Source organism: Homo sapiens, chromosome 16, assembly GCF_000001405.40.
Source record: "Homo sapiens chromosome 16, GRCh38.p14 Primary Assembly".
NCBI lineage: Eukaryota > Metazoa > Chordata > Mammalia > Primates > Hominidae > Homo > Homo sapiens.
In genome coordinates this window covers 15704715-15728748 of record NC_000016.10, presented here as the reverse complement: position 1 = coordinate 15728748, position 24034 = coordinate 15704715, and the positions used below count along the sequence as shown (strand labels likewise).

The window sequence follows — 24034 nt, the reverse complement described above, 5'->3', positions numbered from 1 at the left end:
TTTATATTTTTAGTAGAGACGGGGTTTCACCATGTTGGCCAGGCTGGTCTCAAACTCCTGACCTCAAGTGACCTGCCTGCATAGGCCTCCCAAAGTGCTGGGATTCTAGGCCTGAGCCACCGCGCCTGGCCCCAACACACTTTTTTTTTCCTGTAGGGCAACTCACATGCCTACAGGAGCTGGTTCCATAAAATAAGTTTCCCTTAACTAGGACAGAAGTAGCAGTGTCAATCACACGACACCTGTGAAGGACGGGGGCGGTGAAAGGTGACTGCCCCACCTGCAGAGCCAGCCGCTACTTAGATGTGGCAGATTGTTGCCTTGAAGGAAAGCAAGACCCTCTGTTTCCAGATCTTTCGTTGTTGTTGGTTTTTTGTTTTTGTTTTTAAGTTTAGGATTACTGAGGCATATGTAGTAAAATTTATCCATTTTACTGCTCCATTAATTTTAACAAATGTGTATTGTGTAACTACCACCACCACAGTCACCACATAGAATGTTAGTTATTGATTGATTGATTGAGATGGAGTCTCACTCTGTTACCCAGGCTGGAATGCAGTGGCATGATCTTGGTTCACTGCAACCTCCACCTCCCAGGTTCAAGCAATACTTGTGCCTTAGCCACCCCAGTAGCTGGGACTACAGGCGTGCGCCACCATGCCCGGCTAATTTTTCCATTTTTAGTAGAGATGCAGTTTCGCCATGTTGGCCAGGCTGGTCTCGAACTCCTCACCTCAAGTGATCCACCTGCCTTGGCCTCCCAAAGCTACTTATTTCTGAAACAGGGTCTCACTTTGTTGCCCAGGCTGGAGTGCAGTGGTGTGATCATAGCTCACTGCAGCCTCCAATTCCTGGGCTCAAGCAAGCCTGCCATCCGCCTCCTGAGTAGCTGGGATTGCTGGTGTGTGCCCCCCACACCCAGCTAATGTTTTATTTTAGTAGAGATGGGGGTCTCACTACATTGCCCAGGCTGGTCTTGTACTCCTGGCCTTAAGCGATCCTTCTGCCTGCTTCCCAAAGTGCTGGGGATGACAAGTATGAGCTGCCATGGCATGCCTTCAAACATTAAAGTTTTTTGAAAAAGAAGCTGGGAATCCAGATTTTTATGTGACATTTATTAAAATGTCGGCAACTCATTTTTTTAAAAGTAGTGAAAGGGTCAAAGGGGACATGTCAGCAGGTTGGATACCGCTTGTGGGATTCCAGATTGCAACCCATGAGCTTTAGGAAAATAGAATCCAAAATATCAGCTGGGTGCGGCAGCTCACGCCTGTAATCCCAGCACTTAGGGAGGCCAAGATGGGTGGATCACTTGAGGTCAGGAGTTCGAGAGCAGCCTGGCTAACATGGTGAAACCTCGTCTCTACTAAAAATACAAAAATTAGTCGGGCATGGTGGCGGGCGCCTGTAATCCCAGCTACTTGGGCAGCTGAGGCAGGAGAATAGTTTGAACCTGGGAGGCGGAGGTTGCAGTGAGCCAAGATTGTGCCACGGCACTCCAGCCTGGGTAACAGAGTTAAGACTCCATCTCAAAAAAAAAATAACAACAAAAAAACCCCAAATCTCTTACTGGTGATTGTGTGCCCCCTGTTGTGTGCCTTCCTGGACCTCTCTGAGGGAGGAAAGGGCAGGGCCTGAAACGTTCTCCCGGCCACAGCCTCCCTGTTATCCCTCCCCTCTGCTTCCTTCGCCAGGCCAAGGCGAACCTAGACAAGAATAAGCAGACGCTGGAGAAAGAGAACGCAGACCTGGCCGGGGAGCTGCGGGTCCTGGGCCAGGCCAAGCAGGAGGTGGAACATAAGAAGAAGAAGCTGGAGGCGCAGGTGCAGGAGCTGCAGTCCAAGTGCAGCGATGGGGAGCGGGCCCGGGCGGAGCTCAATGACAAAGTCCACAAGCTGCAGGTGAGGAGGTGGCGCGGTGGTGTGGTGGGCAGTGCTGGGTGGTGCCCAGTTCTGTGGGGAGGAGCCTCTTCCCGGCTCGCTGAGGTCTCTCTTGCTGCAAGGCAAGTCCTTTCCTCTAGTTGCGTTCCTGGAGGAGAGGCGATGATCTCCCTGTTCAATTAAATATTAAAAAAACCTTCTGGCCAGGCACGGTGGCTCATGCCTGTAATCCCAGCACTTTGGGAGACAGAGGTGGGTGGATCACCTGAGGTCAGGGGTTTGAGACCAGTCTGGCCAACATGGTGAAAAGTCTCTACTAAAAATACAAAAATTAGCCAGGCGTGGTCGTGGGCACCTGTAGTCCCATCTACTCGGGAGGCTGAGGCAGGAGAATAGCTTGAACCCAGGAGGCAGAGGTTGCAGTGTGCGGAGACCGCACCATTGTACTCCAGCCTGGGCTAAAAGGGCAAAACTCTGTCTCAGGAAAAAAAAAAAAAAAGAAAAAAAACCCTTCCTTTTCCAATTTGATAAGTATTTATTGAGCACCTGCTGTATGCCAGGCACTGTGCTTAATCCTGAGATCCAACAGCAAGGAAGAAGAGACACTGTCGCTGCCCCAGTAGGACTCCAGCCGAGTAAGGGGAAGGGAAGGGAAGGGAAAGACATGAATAATCACACAAATGAATGTCAAATGATGCAGCAAAGGGAAGGCACATGATGCCCAAGTGTAAATAACCAGGGGGCCTAACCTGGGGGAGGAGGAGCCACGAAAGGCTTCCCTAAGGAGCATGGATAAGTCTACCAGGCAGAGGGAACAGCGTGTGCAAAGGCCCTGTGGTAAGTAGAAAAATTAGGAGAGAGACATACAGCCAGTAGAGCTGGAGTGCCCAGCTGGGGTTGGGGGTAGGGGGAGATAGTACAGAGTGGGGTTGGAGGGGGAGCTTGTACCCAGATGATGTAGGGCTTTTGAGAACCTATTACATGTATGTTGATCCTTACTCTGGGCAATGTGAAGCTGTTGAGGGGTTTTAAGCTGCTGAATGACATGGTCTTTTTGTCTTTGGTCTTCTTTCACTTGGCATAGCCATTTACCCTGCCTTGCCACTCATGGGGACGTGGCCAAAGTTTTCACAAATGTTTAACATGTCCACAGCCAGGGACCAAGGGGCGAGGGAAGAATTAAGTGAGATGTTTTTTTCTCACATGCAGTTGAGAGCAGGGCTTTTGCCGCCCTCATATAAGCAGTGTCAAGATCATTCATATCCTCCTTGTCAATGGAAGAGATGGAGGGGTAGGCTAACAGCCTCAAAGGGACTTATGCAGAGACACTAGGGAGTAAAAGCCAGAGAATACAGAGAGGACGTTTTTACCTTTAGGGCCTGCGTCTCTGGCTTTGGCCATCAGGGTCAAAGAGTAGGAGTGAGGAAGGAAGGGATGGGACAGCATCCCTGGGACGTTCAAGTACCATCCTGGTCTCCCTTCTCCAGCCTTAGAGAGTGGACCAGCCAGAGCACCTCGTCTGGACTCTCAGACCTGCTGCTTTGTCTCTACCAACCTTGGCAGGGATCTAGGATCCATTTAGTGGGATCAGGTCCCAGTCAATACCATTGGGGCTCAAATAAGTTCTTAGAACCACAGAGTCTAGGGCCAGGGTCCCAACTCATAGGTGACGGAGTTCCCTTCAAGCCACAGATTCTGTTTTTTTTGTGTGTGTGTGTGTTTTTTTTTTTTTTTATCAGAGTCCCATACCTCACGGGTATTTTCTCAATCAGTGAACACCTCAAGTACTAGCCCATGTGTTTTGAGTAAAAAGGGCTCCTTTCAACGAGGATCCCCTTCTAGAGGCTTTGACTAACCAGTCTCTTGGCACCCTTAGAATGAAGTTGAGAGCGTCACAGGGATGCTTAACGAGGCCGAGGGGAAGGCCATTAAGCTGGCCAAGGACGTGGCGTCCCTCAGTTCCCAGCTCCAGGACACCCAGGTGAGTGTCCTGCCACATCATCCAGGGGACCTGGGGGGTGGCCTTCCTCGGGGCAGGTCCCTGGGACCTCTTTGCATCCCTTTTGCAGGAGCTGCTTCAAGAAGAAACCCGGCAGAAGCTCAACGTGTCTACGAAGCTGCGCCAGCTGGAGGAGGAGCGGAACAGCCTGCAAGACCAGCTGGACGAGGAGATGGAGGCCAAGCAGAACCTGGAGCGCCACATCTCCACTCTCAACATCCAGGTGCCTGCCCCGTGTCCTTGCTTCCTTCATGGGTCCTCTCAACTTCTCTGCGCTGAGATCCCCCGCAGGCAGATCGCGGTGGAGTGTTGGTGCGATGGTGCTTGACCCCCCAGCTTCCCCTGCTATTGGGTTTCTCCAACGAGGAGACATGGTCTTCGCTTCTCAGAGTCTGTGGGGCCAGGGACAGGGGCCACTCATGGTCCCCCTCTCACCCTACCCTGGACGCTGTCCTTGTAGCTCTCCGACTCGAAGAAGAAGCTGCAGGACTTTGCCAGCACCGTGGAAGCTCTGGAAGAGGGGAAGAAGAGGTTCCAGAAGGAGATCGAGAACCTCACCCAGCAGTACGAGGAGAAGGCGGCCGCTTATGATAAACTGGAAAAGACCAAGAACAGGCTTCAGCAGGAGCTGGACGACCTGGTTGTTGATTTGGACAACCAGCGGCAACTCGTGTCCAACCTGGAAAAGAAGCAGAGGAAATTTGATCAGGTAGAGGGCGTGGGGTGTCCCCCACTCTGGCCATGGACGCTGGGTTGGGGAATCAGCTCTGCAGAGTATGACGCGTGGCTCTGGCCTGTGCCTGCATCCCCTCTCCACTCTGTGGGGAGCCATGGGAGGCTGTCTTATCTTGTCTTGGGCGACCATGGAGCATTAACGCTACCAGGTCACAGTAAGGATGGCAAAGAAGCCTTGATGACTGTGACTTTTCTGGGTACCAGCACCATGAGGGTCACCTGCACACATGGTGATGCCTTAGTTTCTAGCCTGAAGAAGGAATGAGGTGCTTATTTATTCACTAAATGTATTTACTGAATACCTATTGAGTAGTATTCCAAGTAATTCAGTTTCTATACTTTTAATACCACTCTTCCCTAAGATTTCATTCTGTAAAATTCCAAGTACACAGCAAAGTTGACAGAATTGTACGGTGAACACCTTTAAGGCCACCACCTGGATTCAGTCATTGACACTGTATTATATGAACTTTATCAGATACTTATTTTGAGACAGGATCTAGCTCTGTCACCCAGGCTGGAGTGCAGTGGTGTGATCTCAGCTCCCCGCAACCTCCACCACTGGGTTCAAGCGATTCTCCTGCTTCAGCCTTTCATGTAGCCGGGATTATAGGAGCACACCACTATGTCTGGCTAATTTTTGTATTTTTAGTAGAGATGGGGTTTTGCCATGTTGTCCAGGCTGGTCTCCAACTCCTGGCCTCACATGATCTGCCTGCCTTGGCCTCCCAAAGTGCTGGGATTATAGGTATGAGCCACTATGCCCGGCCCACATATTTATTTATAAAGACTAATTCTATCTATCATGCCTTATCTCTTGGGTACATTTCAGAGCAAATTACAGATGTCAGTACATTTCCCCTTCCACACCTCAACATTGCATATTAATTAGAGTTTATTTTTAAACACAATTTTGCTTCTTTTGGGGTAAAACTTACATGTGATGAGATTCACAAATCTTAATTGTACGATAAATGGAGACCCCTGTATGACCCAAACCCCTAAATACCAACTTTTAAGATACATTATTATTTAGTAAATATGATTTAGTTTACAAGTGACTCAGGGTTATTCTAAAAATCAGTTTGAGAGGCCAGGCACGGTGGCTCACGCCTGTAATCCTAGCACTTTGGGAGGCTGAGGCAGGTGGATCACTTGAGGTCAGGGGTTTGAGACCAGCCTGGCCAACATCGTGCAACTTTGTCTCTACTAAAAATACCAAAATTAGCCGGGCGTGGTGGCGCACGCCTGTAATCCCTGCTACTCTGGAAGCTGAGGCAGGAGAATCGCTTGAACCCAGGGTGGGGTGGAGGTTGCAGTGAGCCAAGATTGCGCCACTACACCCCAGCCTGAGTGATGGAGTGAAAACCCTGTCTCAAAAATAAATAAAATGAGGATTGTACAGTGAGGCTAAATGCCAGATGCCTGCAGGTTCCCTACCCCTCCCTGACTGACCTCCTAGTGTCAGGATTCTAGATAACATCCCAGTTTCTCCTCTTCCCATCAGCTACCTCTCCTCTGGGCTGTCAGCTCATCTTCAATGCTTCGTTATCTGGTTGAAGGCCTGAGGTTGCTTTTATTTTCCTGTCACATAGAGTGTAGTGCAGTGGCACACATAGTGTGGGATTTTTGTGTTGACTGTGCCATTTAGAGGTCCCTGTCTTTGCTGAATACTGGAAGTTTGGCTTTTGGATGTTACAATTTATAATCTGCTCTGTTCTCTCTGAAGATGAGATTAACGTGAGCATGGAATGTTCTCTGAGTTGCTTCTCCAAGCAGAGAGATATGTGTGCAGGGCCACCCATGCTTACCATTTCCCTACTGAGGCTCTTAGGATACTTTTGTAAGATATTAATAGCTACTTGTGGCCATGAAACAAACTAATAACTAGCTTCTGGCAGCTTTAAATCTCACTTTGACCTCAGTGTGCTCTAAGCAACGTGGGCAGGTCTAGTGGTTTCGAAGCACAAGGATTTGGCCAGGTGTGGTGGCTCACACCTGTAATCTCCGTGCTTTGGGAGGCCGAGGCAGGAGGCTCACTTGAGGGTCAGGAGTTCGAGACCAGCCTGGTCAACATGGCAAAACCACATCTCTACTTAAAATACAAAAATTAGCCAGGTGTGGTGGTGGGCACCTGTAATCCCAACTACTCTGGAGGCTGAGGCAGGAGAATCGCTTGAACCCACGAGGCGGAGGTTGCAGTGAACCAAGACTGCACCATTGCACTCCAGCCTGGGTGACAAAGTGAGACTCCATCTAAAACAAACAAACACACAAACCAACAAAAAAAAACAAGTCAGCTGATTTCTGGCTCTGCATAAGGTTGATGTAGAAGTCAGAACGCCAGATGATTATATAAATTACTCCCATAGCTAACCTACACTGCTTACACCTGCACCTCAATACATTCAGCAGGACACAGGGCTTCCCCCGGTATTTACAATTCAGTGACGCTGACCCCGGATATGCCTAGAAGTCACCTCTGGGTCTTGTGTTGTAGTTGTTAGCCGAGGAGAAAAACATCTCTTCCAAATACGCGGATGAGAGGGACAGAGCTGAGGCAGAAGCCAGGGAGAAGGAAACCAAGGCCCTGTCCCTGGCTCGGGCCCTTGAAGAGGCCTTGGAAGCCAAAGAGGAACTCGAGCGGACCAACAAAATGCTCAAAGCCGAAATGGAAGACCTGGTCAGCTCCAAGGATGACGTGGGCAAGAACGTAAGTGGCTCTGGGTGGTTTTTCTCGTCCATGTTTCGCCTGCCCACCCTCTGTGCTATTCACCAGTCCATGCGAGGCTAGCTCCTGGCCTTTTTCATAGCGAACTATCATCGGAAATGGAAGGAGGTTTTTGGACTGGTGCAGGGGCTGGGAGGGGCTGAGAATGGCAGTCGAGGATGGGTCTGAGTTGGGGGGTCCGAGGATAAGGCTGGGGTCTGAACTCTCAGGGGTCATCTTGAGTCCCGGCCATGCATCCTGTGGGAGGCCAAAGCCACCTCCCTGATCTCCTGAGGTGCCGCTCACGGTGGGTTTCTCAATCGTCTTCATGAAGTTGAGCCTCATAGAATGGGGCTGCCCGCTCTGCCGGCAGGTCCATGAGCTGGAGAAGTCCAAGCGGGCCCTGGAGACCCAGATGGAGGAGATGAAGACGCAGCTGGAAGAGCTGGAGGACGAGCTGCAAGCCACGGAGGACGCCAAACTGCGGCTGGAAGTCAACATGCAGGCGCTCAAGGGCCAGTTCGAAAGGGATCTCCAAGCCCGGGACGAGCAGAATGAGGAGAAGAGGAGGCAACTGCAGAGACAGGTGCGTGCTGCCGGGGAGGCCAGCAGAGGGAGGTCGGGTGGCCTTTTTCATTCCTATCACCACTCTCATGGTTGGTGTGGAAACTTCGTTTTCTTTATTTTTTTTTGAAACAGAGTCTCGCTCTGTCGCCCAGGCTGGAGTGCAGTGGCGTAATCTCAGCTCACTGCAACCTCCACCTCCTGCCTCAGCCTCCCGAGTAGCTTGGATTACAGGCGCATGCCACCATACCTAGCTAATTTTTTTTTTTTTTTCAGTGGAGACAAGGTTTCACCATGTTGGCCAGGCTGGTCTTGAACTCCTGGCCTCAAGTGATCCATTCTCCTGTTGGCCTCCCAAAGTGCTGGGATTACAGACATGAGCCACCCACGCCCGGCGTGATTCCGTTTTCTCATCTGCAACTGGGGATGAGATGCCCACCTCACAAGGGGGCTGTGCTGGGGAAGGGGTGCAGTGATGTGCTGCCTAGGTGAGCCAAAGGACCTCCCAGGGGCAAGTGGGGCAGCACACATCTCTATTCCTCGCCCAGCTTCACGAGTATGAGACGGAACTGGAAGACGAGCGAAAGCAACGTGCCCTGGCAGCTGCAGCAAAGAAGAAGCTGGAAGGGGACCTGAAAGACCTGGAGCTTCAGGCCGACTCTGCCATCAAGGGGAGGGAGGAAGCCATCAAGCAGCTACGCAAACTGCAGGTGGGTGACACTAGGAGCTTGGGGCATGGGTGGAGGGAGGGCACAGTTCCCCTCAGGCCACCGAAGTCAGCAGAGCGGGCTCCAGGAAGCAAGCCTGCACCTGCCATTGGTGTGGGTTCAGCTGGGGTTTTTCTGGAACCATTCAGGATTTGGTGGCTGTCTCCTGCCCTGGGTAGGGCAGCATTATTAGGTATTTGGCCACTGCCCTCAGATCACATCAGGGGCTCAGCTTCTCAGGCAGGTCTGTGGAGCCCACCCAGAATGGTGCTCCCAGCGCACCACCAGCCACCTGGAACTGAGAGCCATGCTCGTGCAATGGGAACTTCTTTGTGGTCAACTGCAGAAAATCCAAGGGGTGGGTGTGCAAAGCTGAACTGGGCAGCAGAACTTGGGGGAGTAAGGACATCTGAGCTTGTCCTCCCTGTTGACTCATGCAGGCTCAGATGAAGGACTTTCAAAGAGAGCTGGAAGATGCCCGTGCCTCCAGAGATGAGATCTTTGCCACAGCCAAAGAGAATGAGAAGAAAGCCAAGAGCTTGGAAGCAGACCTCATGCAGCTACAAGAGGTAAAGCCTCGCCTTGCTAGGAGAGCCTCAGATGCGGGTGTCACGGTAGCACCCCTTGGCAGCTCCAGTCTGTGCATTCCCAGATTTCATTTCGTCCTCCTCTGGGGTCCACCTGTCTAGAAAGACACACGCTTCCCTCCTCTATGTATTCACGGGGCCTCCCCTGAGCTCAGAGGAAGAACATGTACTTTCAAGGGTGGCTGAGTTGTCAGGGTGGACTCTTGGTGGGGCTTGGCCTTTCCCTGGCAGACAACAGCCTTCCTCCCTCCCACCTAGGACCTCGCCGCCGCTGAGAGGGCTCGCAAACAAGCGGACCTCGAGAAGGAGGAACTGGCAGAGGAGCTGGCCAGTAGCCTGTCGGGAAGGTAGGAAACTGAATGGAGGAAGAGGGCTCTGAAGCAGAGGATGGGGGGACAGGCAGCATCCTCGACCCCCATTTTATTTTTTAAATTTTTTCGAGACAGAGTTTCATTCTGTCACCCAGGCTGGAGGGCAGTGGCACAATCTTGGCTCACTGCAACCTCCACCTCCCAGGTTCAAGCAATTCTCCTGCCTCAGCCTTCTGAGTAGCTGAGACTACAGGTGTGTACCACCATGCCTGGCTAATTTTTATATTTTTAGTAGAGGTGGGGTTTCACCATGTTGGCCAGGCTAGTCTTGAACTCCTGACCTTAGGTGATCCTCCTACCTTGGCCTCCCAAAGTGCTGTGATTACAGGTGTGAGCCACCGTGCCTGGCCCTGGACCCCCATTTCAATGCTGCTGCTGACGAAGCGTCCTCTGAGATTGGGGACAGACCCATGGTGGTTAGGTTTTCCGTCAGCGCTTTCATGCCTGTTTGGGGGTGTGGCTGCTTTCATTCATTCCCAATAAGTAGCTGTGTGGGGAGAAGGGGAGGCCAGGAAGAGTCAGGGAGGAGTGTGCTGGTCCCCATCCCAATCCCAGCTTTGCTGACACGGACCCGGCCTGAGTCCCGGCTGTCCACTTCCTGGCTGTGTAACTACAGATGAGTCTTCTAATCTTCTCCAAGCCTCAGTTTCACCCATTAGATGATGAGGGCAATACCCCTGAGGCATGACTCCAAGGAGGGGGCATCTTTTAAGGCGGGGGAGGGTAGAGGCCCCCACCATGGCCGCCCTTCCCCCAGGAACGCACTCCAGGACGAGAAGCGCCGCCTGGAGGCCCGGATCGCCCAGCTGGAGGAGGAGCTGGAGGAGGAGCAGGGCAACATGGAGGCCATGAGCGACCGGGTCCGCAAAGCCACACAGCAGGTGAGGGCCGCCTGGACACCACAGTCACGCTGCCTACTGTCTCTCCTGCAGCAGGATCCTGCACCAGTCAACACACGCGTGGCGGCTTCCTGTGTGCAGGCCCTGGATTGAGGGACAAGAGGGTGGTGGGGCCTGAGAGTAGAGATCCAGGGCCCTTACACCAGTGCCCAGGCTGCTGTCTTCAGAATACTCCTCTCCACGCTGCAGTGTCTCATTTTCCAGCCACGGCGTGGCTGGCTCCCCGTACCTCACGGCCATCCCTGGAGTCCGGGCCTTGGGATGCTCTTTCATTGCGTTTTCCCCTAGCTGAAGCTCTGACCTTATCCAGTGAGCCCTTGGTGATGTCACTGAGCACTAGTTCCATGGTGGGCACTAGGGACCATCCAGTAACCTGCAGCCCCTTGTGGTGTAGGGTGAACAGGCATCATTCTCCAGGCGACTCCAGGACAGAGAAAGCAAGGGACAAGTCACTCGCTCAGCCTGGGTGGCACTGACACTTGTGGAAGCACCTCTTTTTTTTGGAGACAGGGTCTCTCTGTGGCCCAGGCTGGAGTGCAGTGGCGCAATCTTGGCTCACTGCAACCTCTGCCTCCCAAGTTCAAGGGATTCTCCTGCTTCAACCTCCCAAGTAGCTGGGACTACAGGCACGTGCCACCACTGCCCGGCTAATTTTTGTATTTTTAATAGAGACGGGGTTTCACCATGTTGGCCAGGCAGGTCTCGAACTCCTGAGCTCAAGTGATTTACCTGCCTCTGCTTCCAAAAGTGCTGGGATTACAGGCGTGCGCCACCACGCCCGGCCTGGAAGAAGCTCTTGAGTGGAGTTTTACAGGATGAAGGAGAGGACAGGGTGCCCGGGATCAAGGGACTCGTGCAGAGGCCAAACAAGGCAGGAAGAGGCATGGTCTCAGTGCGCTCTCTTGGGCTTCCCTGAGTCCGCCTCATGGCCTTCACTCTCCTCCCCAGGCCGAGCAGCTCAGCAACGAGCTGGCCACAGAGCGCAGCACGGCCCAGAAGAATGAGAGTGCCCGGCAGCAGCTCGAGCGGCAGAACAAGGAGCTCCGGAGCAAGCTCCACGAGATGGAGGGGGCCGTCAAGTCCAAGTTCAAGTCCACCATCGCGGCGCTGGAGGCCAAGATTGCACAGCTGGAGGAGCAGGTCGAGCAGGAGGCCAGGTATGCGGGTGTGGAGTTCCGAACCCAGTTTGCAGGGGGGTGATGGACAGCAGGAGTCATAGTGAAGTCAGGGAACCTCTTCCAGCATCAGTTCTGGCTTGTAAGAAGCAAGCTCTGTGATGCCTACAGTGCAGGTATGTTGTGAGAACTGAACGTAAACACAGCAAAGTGCCCTGCTGGTTCCTGGCCTAGGGCAAGCACCTAAAGTGTGAGCTGCTCTTAGCATCTCCATGGTCCTCCTGACATTAACCTGCCTTCCCAGCAGTACATATGACTTTTCCCAGCCTCTGCAGGGATAGCATGCTGACAGATCAAAAATCCAACCAGGCTGGACGTGGTGGCTCACGCCTGTAATCCCAGCAATTTGGGAGGCTGAGGCAGGTGGATCACTTGAGGTCAGGAGTTTGAGACCGGCCTGGCCAACATGGTGAAACCCTGTCTGTACCAAAAATTAGCCGAGTGTGGTGGCACATGCCTATTATCTCAGCTACTCAGGAGACTGAGGCAGGAGAATCACTCCAACGTGACACGTGGAGGTTGCAGTGAGCCGAGATTGTGCCACTGCACTGCAGCCTGGGTGACACAGTGGGACCCTTCCACACACATACACACACACAAAAAAAACCCCAAAAAACAAAAGTCCAACCGGCAGCCCATTTGGTACACACACTGGAAGCCTTCTTAATTATGGGTCGAATGAGGCATATGATCACAGCACATTTCTTACCATTGGATTCTAAGGATTCTCACCCATTCTCTTCTAGTAGCTTTTTCAGTAATTCGCACGCCCTGCAATGCACCCATTTAAAGTGTATAATTCAAGGGCTATTCATATATTCACAAACATGTAAAAACGATCACCACAGTCATTTTGAGAACATTTTCATCGGCTCAAACAGAAACCCCAGGCCATATGTGGTATTTCATGCCCATAATCCCGGCACTTTGGGAGGCTGAGGTAGGTGGGAGCAGCACTTGAGTCCAGGAGTTCGAGACCAGTCTGGGCAGCATAGCAAGACTTTTTTATTTTTATTTTTTTGAGACATAGTCTCACTCTGTTTCCCAGGCTGGTGTGCAGTGGTGCGATCTCAGCTCACTGCAACCTCCGCCTCACCCTCCCAAGTAGCTGGGACTACAGGTGCACACCACTGTACCCAGCTTGTAATTGTATTTTTTAGTAGGGATGGGGTTTCACCATGTTGGCCAGGCTGGTCTCGAACTCCTGACCACAGGTGATCTGCCCACCTCGGCCTCCCAGAGTACTGGGATTACAGGCATGAGCCACCACGCCTGGCCAGAGACTCCGTTTCTATGAAAAACTTTTAAAAGTCTGAGCATGCTGGTGTACGCCTGTAGTCCCAGCTACTTGGGAGGCTGAGGTGGGAGGATTGCTTGAGCCAGGAGTTCAAGGCTGCAGTGAACTATGAACTAGGGTGAAGAGCAGGCATTGGAGCACCACTGCACTCCAACCTGGGTCACACAGCAAGACCTTGCCTCCTCCCCGCAAAAAAAATAGAAACCCCATGCCCTGTAACCACTCCCTTCAGTCCCTGGCAACCATAATCTACTTTCTGTCTCTATGAATTTATCTATTCTGGACACTTGATATCAACGGAATCACACACTATGTTGTCTGCTATGTGTCTTCTTTCACTTGGCAAGAATTCCAGGCTCATCCATGCTGTGGCATGCATTGATACTTTATTCCTTTTCATGGCTGAATACTATTCCACCATCTGACTGATTCTTGAGAGGAGTCCAGATACGGGGCTCAGGAAAGCACTCAAGATGCCACCTCCAGGTGACACACCAGCTACAAGGGGTGCCACCCTCCGCTGAAACCACCTGTTTTCCTTGCTGTTTGCAGAGAGAAACAGGCGGCCACCAAGTCGCTGAAGCAGAAAGACAAGAAGCTGAAGGAAATCTTGCTGCAGGTGGAGGACGAGCGCAAGATGGCCGAGCAGTACAAGGAGCAGGTAGCCCCTGCCACCCAGCCTCCCTCGAGCCCCCAGCCCCCAGCCGGCCTCCCCTAACCACCCCTCCAACTCTCCGCGACAGGCAGAGAAAGGCAATGCCAGGGTCAAGCAGCTCAAGAGGCAGCTGGAGGAGGCAGAGGAGGAGTCCCAGCGCATCAACGCCAACCGCAGGAAGCTGCAGCGGGAGCTGGATGAGGCCACGGAGAGCAACGAGGCCATGGGCCGCGAGGTGAACGCACTCAAGAGCAAGCTCAGGTGAGGAGCCCGTGGCCCGGGAGGACCCCGTCTCTCAGGCCAGAGAAAAGCACTGGGGGCTCGGGCTCCTTTCGGCCTGCAAATGCCCCTTGTGCCCACAGCCGCCACTCCCTTCTGTGGTTTATTCCTGCTTCTCCTTAATCACTAAGCTTAGTGTGGGCCAGGCACTGAGATCAGACCCGGGCCCTGCCTTGCCTGGTAGCAGCTAACCTTCTAGATCCTTTAACGATCGACCGTCTCCCATCCGGTCCTCCGGCTGAGGAGGAGGAAGAGGCTATCCCCACTGTCTCCTCCAGCCCCTCCTTCATTGCATCACTGAGTCTTCACGACATCCATTGAAGCTGCAACACCACCCCCCGCCACTTCACCTCCTTCCTGACATGCTCTGCTCCTCCTTTCTCCCCCTCAGCACTGCTGCCATCTGGGCTGCATTATTCTCGGGTATGGGGGCTGTCCGACATTCCCCATCAGAAGGAAAAAGATCCCTGAAAAGTAGCAGGTGCTTACATTTCTGGCCTCTACCCACCGGCTGCAGTAGTCCCCCACCACCCTGCAATGTGACAACCAAAAATGTCTCTAGATGTTGCCAGAAGTCCTCTAGAGATGGGAGGGTACGACTGCCACCCCGCTGAGAATTCCTGCTGTCACTGGAGTGGGGGCTGTTTTCTCTCCCATGCCTCTGGTACCTTGGGGGTCCCCCCTGCTCCCAAGGGCTGCTTCCACCACCCTGTCCATCCATCCCGATTGGCTCCCAGGAGGTTTTAGCTCCGGGCTTCCTGTCTCCCACACCACTCCTCACAGTTCTCCATGATTTCAACATCCAGGTGGGCGACGCAGCCTCTCGGTTCCTTGACCCTCTGGGTGATCCTGCTGCTTCTACCGGGCCAACCAGTACTCCTAGGAGCCCTCACAATTTGACCCTCAGGCATCCCATTGTCTGCCTGGTGCCACCTTTCTTTGGCTCTGTCCCCAACGGGGTCTTCACTCCATTAATGCCATCAGCCTCTGACCCAGCTCCAAACCAGCTGTCTAGTAACCCCCGTCGCGCATCCTCAACATCCGGTTCCCCCTCTTGCATTGCTGCAATCATTTGGTGAAAGCACAACCCAAATGAAACTCAAGCTTGGCTGGGCACGGGACTCACACCTATAATCCCAGCACTTTGGGAGGCCAAGGCAGGTGAATCGCTTTGAGCTCAGGAGTTCAAGAGCAGCAAGACCCCATCTCTACAACAAACAAACAAAAATCAGCCAGGTGGGATGGCGCAAACCTAAAATCCCAGCTACTCAGGAGGCTGAGGTGGGACGATCAGTGGAGCCCCAGAGGTCAAGGCTGCAGTGAGCCATGATCTAGCCAATGCACTTACCCTGGATGGACAGAGTGAGACCCTGTCTCAAAAAACCCAAAACCCACTCTCCACCTTTTCCCACAGAGCAGGCCTTGCTCAGGGGTCCTCCCACACCCCTCCCTCATCTTCTCACTCTCTGCTGCTTTTCACTTTTTCTTTGAACTTATGATCGCTCCTCCCCATTCTCTCTCAGCTGGGGACCTTACTTCCTACTTAACTCAAAAGCAGAAATGATCATGAAACGTGCACAAGCTCCCACTGCCTCATCATCCTACCTCCGTGCACCTCTGTACACTTCTATTTTTTTTCCATTTCTATGCTGAACCCTCTGGCACCAACCGAGGCCAACACCTCCATTGGACCCGACCCTCTTGTTCACTCAAGCACATAGCTCCAAAAATCCTTATTTTGCAAGGTTTTCTCTTTCATTTGCTCCATCAGCAAATGGAATAACCTCTTAGCCCCATGTCTACCTTGCTACCCTTACTACAAAACTGGATGTGAATGCCGAAACCCTGTCTCTACCAAAAAATATAAAAATTAGCCAGGTGTGGTGGTGCATGCCTATAGTTCCAGCTACTCAGGAGGCTGAGGCACAAGAATGGCTTAAAACCGGGAGAGAGAGGTTGCAGTCCAGCCTGGGTGACAGAGTGAGACTCGGTCTCAAAAAAAAAAAAACTGTATGTGAAGAGTTGCTGGTTCCCCTCGCCCCCACCCATCACTCTCCCAGAAGCCTCCCATGGGTGACACTAATGGCCAGAGGTCCCCTGACAGGGCAGCAGCACGTGACGCAGTCCATCATGCCTCTGGCCTAATTCACTTGCTTCCCTGGACTTCCCCGACACCATCCACACCTGCTTGTCCCCCGACCTGTGGGGTTGTCCCTCTTCCTCTCCTCTGCTGATCCCTCACCTCGAAACCTGCTTGCCACTAGACCGCCCCAGGGTATCAACTTAGTTCTCTTTTGGGCAGAGTCTTGCTCTGTTGCCCAGGCTGGAGTGCAGTAGCACTATCTCAGCTCACTGCAACCTCTGCCTCCCAGTTCAAGCTATTTTTGGCCTATTTTTATATTTTTAGTAGAGATGGGGTTGCACCATGTTGCCCAGGCTGGTCTTGAACTCCTGATCTTGTGATCCACCCGCCTCAGCCTCCCCACGTGCTGGGATTACAGGCATGGACCACTGCACGGCCTTAGTTGTTTTCATCTCTCCCCAGCGCTAGGTGAGAGGTCTCAACTAATCTTGGCGCTTTAGAATTCCATGTATATCTAATGACTCCTCAGTTCATCTCTGAGAAGCCCTAGCTTCTTCCTAGAACCTCAGACCACCCTCCCGTTCCCACATGGATGTCTAATAGGCAGCTCACACCAAACATGCTGCACCCCAAGTCCTGACTGAAACTCTTCACCCCCAAACTGGCTCCTCTCTCCAGCTCAGCAGCTAAAATGATGAAGTTGCCAACAATTCACATCACAAACCTCGTGGTCCTTCTTAACGTTTTGGTCTCCTTTATACCCCACATCCCATCTATGGGAGAATCTGGTCAACTTTCCCTAAAGAATCCTGCCCAGGCTGGGTGCAGTGGCTCACCCCTTAATCCCAGCACTTTGGGAGGCCAACGCAGGCTGATCACCTGAGGTCAGGAGTTCAAGGCCAGCCTGACCAACATGGTGAAACCCCGTCTCTACTAAAAACACAAAAATTAGCCGGGTATGGTGGGGCGTGCCTGTAATCCCAGCTACTAGGGAGGCTGAGGCAGGAGAATCGCTTGAACCTGGGAGACACAGGTTACAGTGAGCTGAGATCGCACCACTGCACTTCAGCCTGGGTGACAGACCAAAACTCGGTCTCAAAAAAAAAATCTCCAGTGTCTAGGACAGCACCAGGCAGAGTGAACCTTTATCCCTCGGGTCCTAGATATTTTCCCCGCTTCATTCTCATACCACCACAGCCATGTGCTGAGCCTCTTACTACCTTTAATACCAATGACTTGATCTTTTAACAGTTTTAATCATACATGAATATAACGGCAAATAAACATACCTCCTCTATATTTTTAAACCAGCATCACCTCTATCAACTGGTTACGATGAAAGTAATATGATAAAAATAGTATCAAGTTCAATATCTAGCTATTGTGGCCACAACTTGATCACCAAGACCTGAAGCCTACTTCTCCACTAAAAAGGGAGTGACAACAGCCATTAGCACCAAATAGACTCTCTCTGACATCATAATTAGACTTGTTTAAAAAGAGTTGGAAAGGAAATGACTTTCTCAGGGCCCAGTTCAGTTAGCGGATGGCATGCCCGGAAGCCATCTGAAATCACCTCTAGAGTTTGGGGACCACTGCGTGAGACAGGGAAAAGTCCAAACCCCTCTGAGAAGGGGAAGAGAGCAGCTGGCGCAGGGCACCAAGCCTTCAGGGAAAAGCCCCACTCGCTGCATGGTGAGCGCTTGTTGGTCCCCCATGGATAGGAGAGAAACCAGGCCTAGGCTCCCAAAGTACAGCAGGGGCCTGGAAGCATCTCCCAGGGTTGAGGGGTCAGTGGAGGAGAGCTGTTCTCACTGTGAAGACTCCTGGGGCAAAGCGCGGTGGCTCACGCCTGTAATCCCAGCACTTTGGGAGGCTGAGGTGGGCTGATCACCTGAGGTCAGGAGTTCGAGACCAGCCTGGCCAACATGGTGAAACTTCATCTCTACTAAAAACACAAAAATCAGCTAGGCGTGGTGGCAGATGCCTGTAATCCCAGCTACTCGTGAGGCTGAGACAGGACACTCCTTTGCAACCCAGGAGGAGGAGCCTGCAGTGAGCCAAGATCAAGCCTCTATACTCCAGCCTTCAGAGCAAGACTCTGTCTCCAAAAAAAAAACAAAAAACAAAAACCCTCAGATGTGCTCTGCTGGCAACCAGTCCCCCTGCCTCTCCTGAGTGGCTGGGCTGAGCGATGGGGATACAGCCACTCTGACTCCCTACCCCACTGCTGTCTCTGCTTCCCTTTCTCAGGCCCAGTGATTTCTTTTCTTTTTATTATTTATTTTTAGACGGAGTCTAGCTCTGTTGCCAGGCTGGAGTGCAGTGGCGCGATCTCGGCTCACTGCAACCTTTGCCTCCCAGGTTCAAGCGATTCTCCTGCCTCAGCCTCCCAAGTAGCTGAGATTACAGGTGCGTGCCACCACACCTGGCTAATTTTTGTATTTTTAGTAGTGGCAAGGTTTCACCATACTGGCTGGGATGGTCTCGATCTCCTGACCTCGTGATCCACCTGCCTCGGTCTCCCAAAGTGCTGGGGTTACAGGCGTGAGCCACCATGCCCGGCCGGCCCAGTGATTCTTTAGCACACACTGGACACCTCCTGTGGGTTCTGCCCCAGACACTTGAGCCTTCTTGGGCAGCCAAGGGCAAAGTGGAACAAAAAGACCATTTTTGCCAGTTCCGACACGAATACACACATAATGCAGGTGGAAGGTCTGTCCTGCCTTCTGCATCTTTTGGGTGCACAAAAACATAAAATCAGGCACTAGAGCCCTGAGGGAGGTTGGTAAGCATGCCTGGCTCCTCAGCCAAGAAGGAACTGTAGTGCGAGTTTCACCAAGTTCTATCAGCCAGACGCATCTCGACACAAGCCCTCTCTAAAGCCAGACCCACTTACCTACCACTGGCTACACTGCCAGTTACCTCCGGCAAGAGCTGTACAAGGCCTCCACCTCTCCTCTCTTGCTAGAGGCCCGAAAGCTAATGAAGAGCAAGTAATCATAAACCAAGGGACAGGCGGCTGCAGGTTCCTTGCCTGGGACTTCTTGGCTTCTGTTCCAACACTGATTTCTCAAACTAGCTTGCTCAAATGCTTTTACTTCCCTGAACCAGTATGCAATCATGGGATTTATAGGAGGTTCTTAAAAGTAGCTCTAAAGGACAGACATTTTCCTTTCCATTTAAAAAACTGAGCCGGGTGCAGTGGCTCACACCTGTAATCCCAGCTCTTTGGGAGGCCGAGGTGGGTGGATCACTTGAGGTCAGGAGTTCGAGACCAGCATGGCCAACATGGTGAAACTCCGTCTCTACTAAAAATATGAAAATTAGCCAGCCACGGTGGTGCATGCCTGTAATCCCAGCTACTCGGGAGGCTGAGGCAGGAGAATCGCTTGAACCCGGGAGGTGGAGGTTGCAGTGAGCAGAGATAGATCATGCCAGTGCACTCCATCCTGGGTGACAGAGTATCAAAAAACTGCTTATCCTTTCATCTACCAGCCTCACCAAATGCTCTTGGCGTCAGGTGATTCACTGCAACGTTGACTTAAGGGTGCTTTTAATGCCAGGTGCGGTGGTTCATGCCTGTAATCCCAAATCCCAGCACCTTGGGAGGCCAAGGCAGGAAGATCATTGACATCAGGAGTTGGAGACAAGCCTGACCAACATAGTGCAACCCCATCTGTACTAAAAATACAAAAATTAGCCAAGCACGTGGGGCCTGCCTGTAATCCCAGCTACTCGGGAGGCTGAGACAAGGGGATCACTTGAATCCAGGACGTAGAGGTTGCAGTGAGCCAAGATCGCACCCCTGCACTCCAGCCTGGGTGACAGAGACTATCTCAAAATAAAAAAGAGTGCCTTTAATTATTAAATCGAAGCAAATGTCTTTAACAATTAAGAATATACTTAACCGGGCTCCTTCTTGTTTGCTGATGGTAACCTCCGGGGATTCTCTCTCTGTTTCAGAGGGCCCCCCCCACAGGAAACTTCGCAGTGATGCACCAGGTATCATGCCTTCAGCTTCGCAGCTGTGTGTTGTCTCAGTATCCATTTCTTTTCTGCCCAATGCGCCCCTCTGCCCACCCCAATTTTTAAACCCTTGCACATTTCCACGAGATTCTTGCAAAATCTGGAGGCTTGGATATCTTTGTGCAAAGCTTTCATTGAAACCAAGATCAGGATGACAAATAGACCTCATCTCTTGACCCACTGTCCTTCCTGCCTCTGGGCAGCACATGTGACATGACACCCAACAGTGTGCGCCCTTATCACTGCATCTTGACGAGATGGCAGAGGCTGTGTGTGTAGCTTGGATTTTTCTTCCTTTCATGCCAAAAGCCACTCTTACGTGGTTAGGGCACTCAGCAGTGCTGTCCTCCCTTGTCCAGTGAAGACACTGCACTGAATGAATATGACAGTTCCACTATCTGGGCACATTCCTGGAGAACGTACTTGGCTTCTAGTTGGCTGGTCTGGGTCACAAGTCAGAGATCACAAAGTTCACGGTAACTGCGGCGCGGCAACCAGTCCTCCCATGATTCAGCTTTCACAGGCTTGTCTGCGAAGGAAATGAGCTCACTGCGATGTCTGACAAATGCCGGGGGCTGCACGTGGCTTGAGTGATGTCTAGCTACAAACTGCATTTTCAGCACACGGGGTGGAAGCTGACCACCGCAAAGCCAAGCACAGTCCTGGCAGAGCCTTTTCTGGAGGCTTCACGGGCATGTACATGTTCAGGGACTGGGGAGTGGATACCCAAGACTCAAGGATGCACACAGGGCCCTTCCCAAGAAAGCATGAAGAGGTCTCTGCTGCTCTGGGATTTTGCTTTTTTTTTTTTTTTTTTTTGAGACGGAGTCTCGCTCTGGAGTGCAATGGCGCAATCTTGGCTCACCGCAACCTTTGCCTCCTGGGTTCAAGCGATTCTCCTACCTCAGCCTTCTGAGTAGCTGGGATTACAGGCTCCCGCCACCTCGCCCAGCTAATTTTTGTATTTTTATTAGAGACAGGATATCACCATGTTGGCCAGGCTGGTCTCAAACTCCTGACTTCAGGTGATCCGCGCGCCTTGGCCTCCCCAAATGCTGGGATTACAAGCATGACCAACTTTTCACAGGTGAAGTTAGGCCATGTGGATCTGACTTCACCTCATGGAGAGGCCAAACCAACCCTCATTTGTGTCCATCTTCATTTTTGGAGAATCTCAGCTTTGCTGTCACTACCAAAATACTTAAAGCGCAGGGTGAGGTCTTGTTAAGAGCCAGTTTTGTGGGGGAGCAGATGAGTTTCTAGGACACTTCAAGCAGCTCTCCTACCAGCTGATTGGGATCATAGGATAAGCCAAATTCCAGGGTGGGCTGAAGTGCAGAACCCACTGGTCAGTGGGAAACTGAGTCCTTGCAAACTAGCAGGTGCTTACACTCAAGATGATTCCCGAGGCCTTGGATAAGCTGAGTCCACGAATAGAATCCAAATGCTAGGCCAGGCACAGTGGGTCATGCCTATAATCCCAGCACTTTGGGAGGCCGAGGCGGGCAGATAACTTGAGGTCAGGACCAGCCTGGCCAACATGGTAAAACCCCGTCTCTCCTAAAAATACAAAAATTAGCCAGGAGTGGTGGCATGTCTGTAGTCCCAGTTACTTGGAAGGCTGAGGCAGGAGAATCGCTTGAACCTGGGAGGCAGAGGCTGCAGTGAGCCAAGATCACGCCACTGCACTCCAGCCTGGGCAACACAGCGAGACTCTATTTCAAAAAAAAATTCCAGATTCTCCAGGATCAGACCCTTTAAGAAAACCTTTAGGGGGGTCCCTTAGTTCCTGTAACAGGTATAGTTGGTGTCAACCTTGGTCTAGGATTTGAAACCAGTTCCAAGAAAAGCACTTCAGCCAAAACAGAGTATCTTGCAGGCTGACAGCCAAGCAAGGAGCTTCAACGGCCCAGGGCACAATGTATTTCTTAGGTCAAGGGAGCAAATTTATCCATTAAGCTTTTCCAGTTAGCAAATAGACTCTTCCAAGAGCCAAAAAGAGAGTGCCTAGAGCACTGATGTGGAGGTTAGGGACTACTTCCCAGCTCATCAGATTTTTTTTTGTTTTTTTTTTTGGAGACAGTCTTGCTGTTTCCCAGGCTGGAGTGCAGTGGCACAACGTTGGCTCACTGCAGCCTTCACCTCCTGGGTTCAAGCAATTCTCCTGCCTCAGCCTCCTGAGTGACTGGGATTCCAGGCGCCTGCCACCACGCACGGCTAATTTAGTATATTTAGTAGAGACGGGGTTTCACCATATTGGCCAGGATGGCCTCGAACAACTGACCTCACGAGTGATCTGCCCACCTCGGCCTCCCCAAGTGCTGGGATTACAGGCATGAGTCGCAGCAACTGGCCAACCCATCAGGGTTTGAACCTGGAGTTAAAACTGTGACGAAGAGAGCTGTGTGGGGAGCGTACAGGGAACAGTCAAACTGCTGCTCCTCTGCGCTGAATTTGAGCATCCTTCTGAGTCAAGCGCTTGGAAAACAGTGCTAAAAAAGAAAAAGACTTAAGGGTCACATCTAGAGAGAGAAGGATGGAGAGTTCTCTAGTAGGGCTGCAAGTCCAGAAGCTTCTCTGTGAAGCTGGGCTAGGAGTGTTTACTTTGAAGTGGCTGCAGCTTTAAGTATTTATTCCTGATCGCTGCACTGCGGGAAGTCCCATCCTTTATAGCCAGGTGGGCTTTCCCAGCCGGGGTCTCTCCCATCCTCTGTCAACAAAAGGGTCATTTGCGAATTCCTCTTCTCAGTGATCATGAATCTCTGGGCCTTGATTTTTTTTTTTTTTTTTTTTTGAGACGGAGTCTCACCCTGTCGCCTAGGCTGGAGTGCAGTGGCCACATCTCGGCTCACTGCAAGCTCCGCCTCCTGGGTTCATGTCATTCTCCTGCCTCAGCCTCCCTCCCGAGTAGCTGGGACTACAGGCACCCGCCAGCACGCCCGGCTAATTTTTTGTATTTTTAGTAGAGACACGGTTTCACCATGTTAGCCAGGATGGTCTCGATCTCCTGACCTCATGATCCGCCCGCCTCAGCCTCCCAAAGTGCTGAGATTACAGGTGTGAGCCACCATGCCCAGCCGAGTTGTTCCTTTTGACTAAAGAATTGGTCACTGAGTTGTGTTCATCCTTATGGCTTCTTATCCAACCCTTGCGTGGGGAGCAAAAGTCTGCTCTCTTCTTTGATGTCCTAAAATAAGACCTGTCTTCCGATTCAGGTCAAACAGGGCCAGATGGCCAGAGCCCAACATAATTATTTGTTGCGGTTGCTGAAAAGAGTTAAGTGTTTCTTCTGAACGGTGAAGGCTGGCAGCAGGCAGATCTGATTTTTCCTTCTTCTGCCCACTCTCTTCCTCCTACCCAAAGTCTCCCCTCACGTGACCAGCCCTTCCTGTGAAGTCGAGGTGATAAACTCAAGAGAGAACCAGCGCAGAGAGGAGATGGCAGCATTAAGGAGAGACAGGGGTGTCCTACTGGCTGGAGCTAAAATCCACCTCAGAGGCCAGGTGCACTGGCACACACCTGTAATCCCAACACTTTGAGAGGCTAAGACAGGTGGATCGTTTGAGGCCAGGAGTTCAAGACCAGCCTGGGTCACATGGCAAAATCCCATCTCTGCTAAAAATACAAAAATTAGCCAGGCGTGGCAGTGTGCACGTGCATGTAGTCCCAGCTACTCAATACTGAGGCTCAAGGACTGCTGGAACTCAGGAGGCAGAGGTTGCAGTGAGCCAAGATCATGCCACTGCACTCCAGCCTGGGTGAGAGAGACTCTTAAATTTCTTTTTTAAATCCACCTTGAAGGCCAGGTGTGGTGGCCCACGCCTGTAATGCCAGCGCTTTGGGAGGCCAAGGTAGGAGAACTGCTTGAGCTCAGGAGTTCCAGACCAGCCTGGGCAACAATATCAAGACCTCATCTCAATTTAATAAAATAATCCACCTTGGATTAACACGTATAATTTCCTTTTCTAATATTCACTGGGCACCTGTTTTACGCCATGTGCGGTATGTTCCACGATCAGCAAAACAGATGCAGCAGTCCCTGCAGTGGGGAAAACTCAGTCCAT

At 51.8% G+C, this 24034-nt stretch overlaps 2 protein-coding genes across 6 annotated transcripts in view, besides 1 other annotated feature; one reads left to right on the top strand and one right to left on the bottom strand.

Annotated features, from left to right (window-relative positions):
- MYH11 (myosin heavy chain 11) overlaps nt 1–24034 on the top strand; it is a 153894-nt gene that overhangs the window by 128280 nt on the left and 1580 nt on the right. For 2 of the 4 annotated variants that reach the window (NM_022844.3, NM_001040113.2), the window contains 14 exons: nt 1695–1901; nt 3757–3861; nt 3950–4102; nt 4340–4588; nt 7115–7327; nt 7698–7910; nt 8437–8598; nt 9036–9164; nt 9441–9529; nt 10311–10434; nt 11401–11609; nt 13477–13585; nt 13668–13840; nt 19908–19946. In NM_022844.3, the coding sequence (NP_074035.1) occupies nt 1695–1901; nt 3757–3861; nt 3950–4102; nt 4340–4588; nt 7115–7327; nt 7698–7910; nt 8437–8598; nt 9036–9164; nt 9441–9529; nt 10311–10434; nt 11401–11609; nt 13477–13585; nt 13668–13840; nt 19908–19938 (2166 nt within the window). In that variant the 3' untranslated portion in view covers nt 19939–19946. The remainder of the gene's footprint in view (nt 1–1694; nt 1902–3756; nt 3862–3949; nt 4103–4339; nt 4589–7114; nt 7328–7697; nt 7911–8436; nt 8599–9035; nt 9165–9440; nt 9530–10310; nt 10435–11400; nt 11610–13476; nt 13586–13667; nt 13841–19907; nt 19947–24034) is intronic. The other 2 variants (NM_002474.3, NM_001040114.2) reach the window with 1 other exon arrangement.
- NDE1 (nudE neurodevelopment protein 1) overlaps nt 2396–24034 on the bottom strand; it is an 82972-nt gene continuing 61333 nt past the window's right edge. For both annotated transcript variants that reach the window (NM_001143979.2, NM_017668.3), the window contains one exon: nt 2396–4558. In NM_001143979.2, the coding sequence (NP_001137451.1) occupies nt 4498–4558 (61 nt within the window). In that variant the 3' untranslated portion in view covers nt 2396–4497. The remainder of the gene's footprint in view (nt 4559–24034) is intronic.
- Nucleotides 7410–8213: an enhancer, noted in NCBI's record as "H3K27ac hESC enhancer chr16:15814393-15815196 (GRCh37/hg19 assembly coordinates)". NCBI's record gives its function as "activates a minimal SCP1, AML or CMV promoter by ChIP-STARR-seq in naive H9 embryonic stem cells {active_cell/tissue: H9 hESC(naive)}" and the evidence as "EXISTENCE:reporter gene assay evidence [ECO:0000049][PMID:30033119]".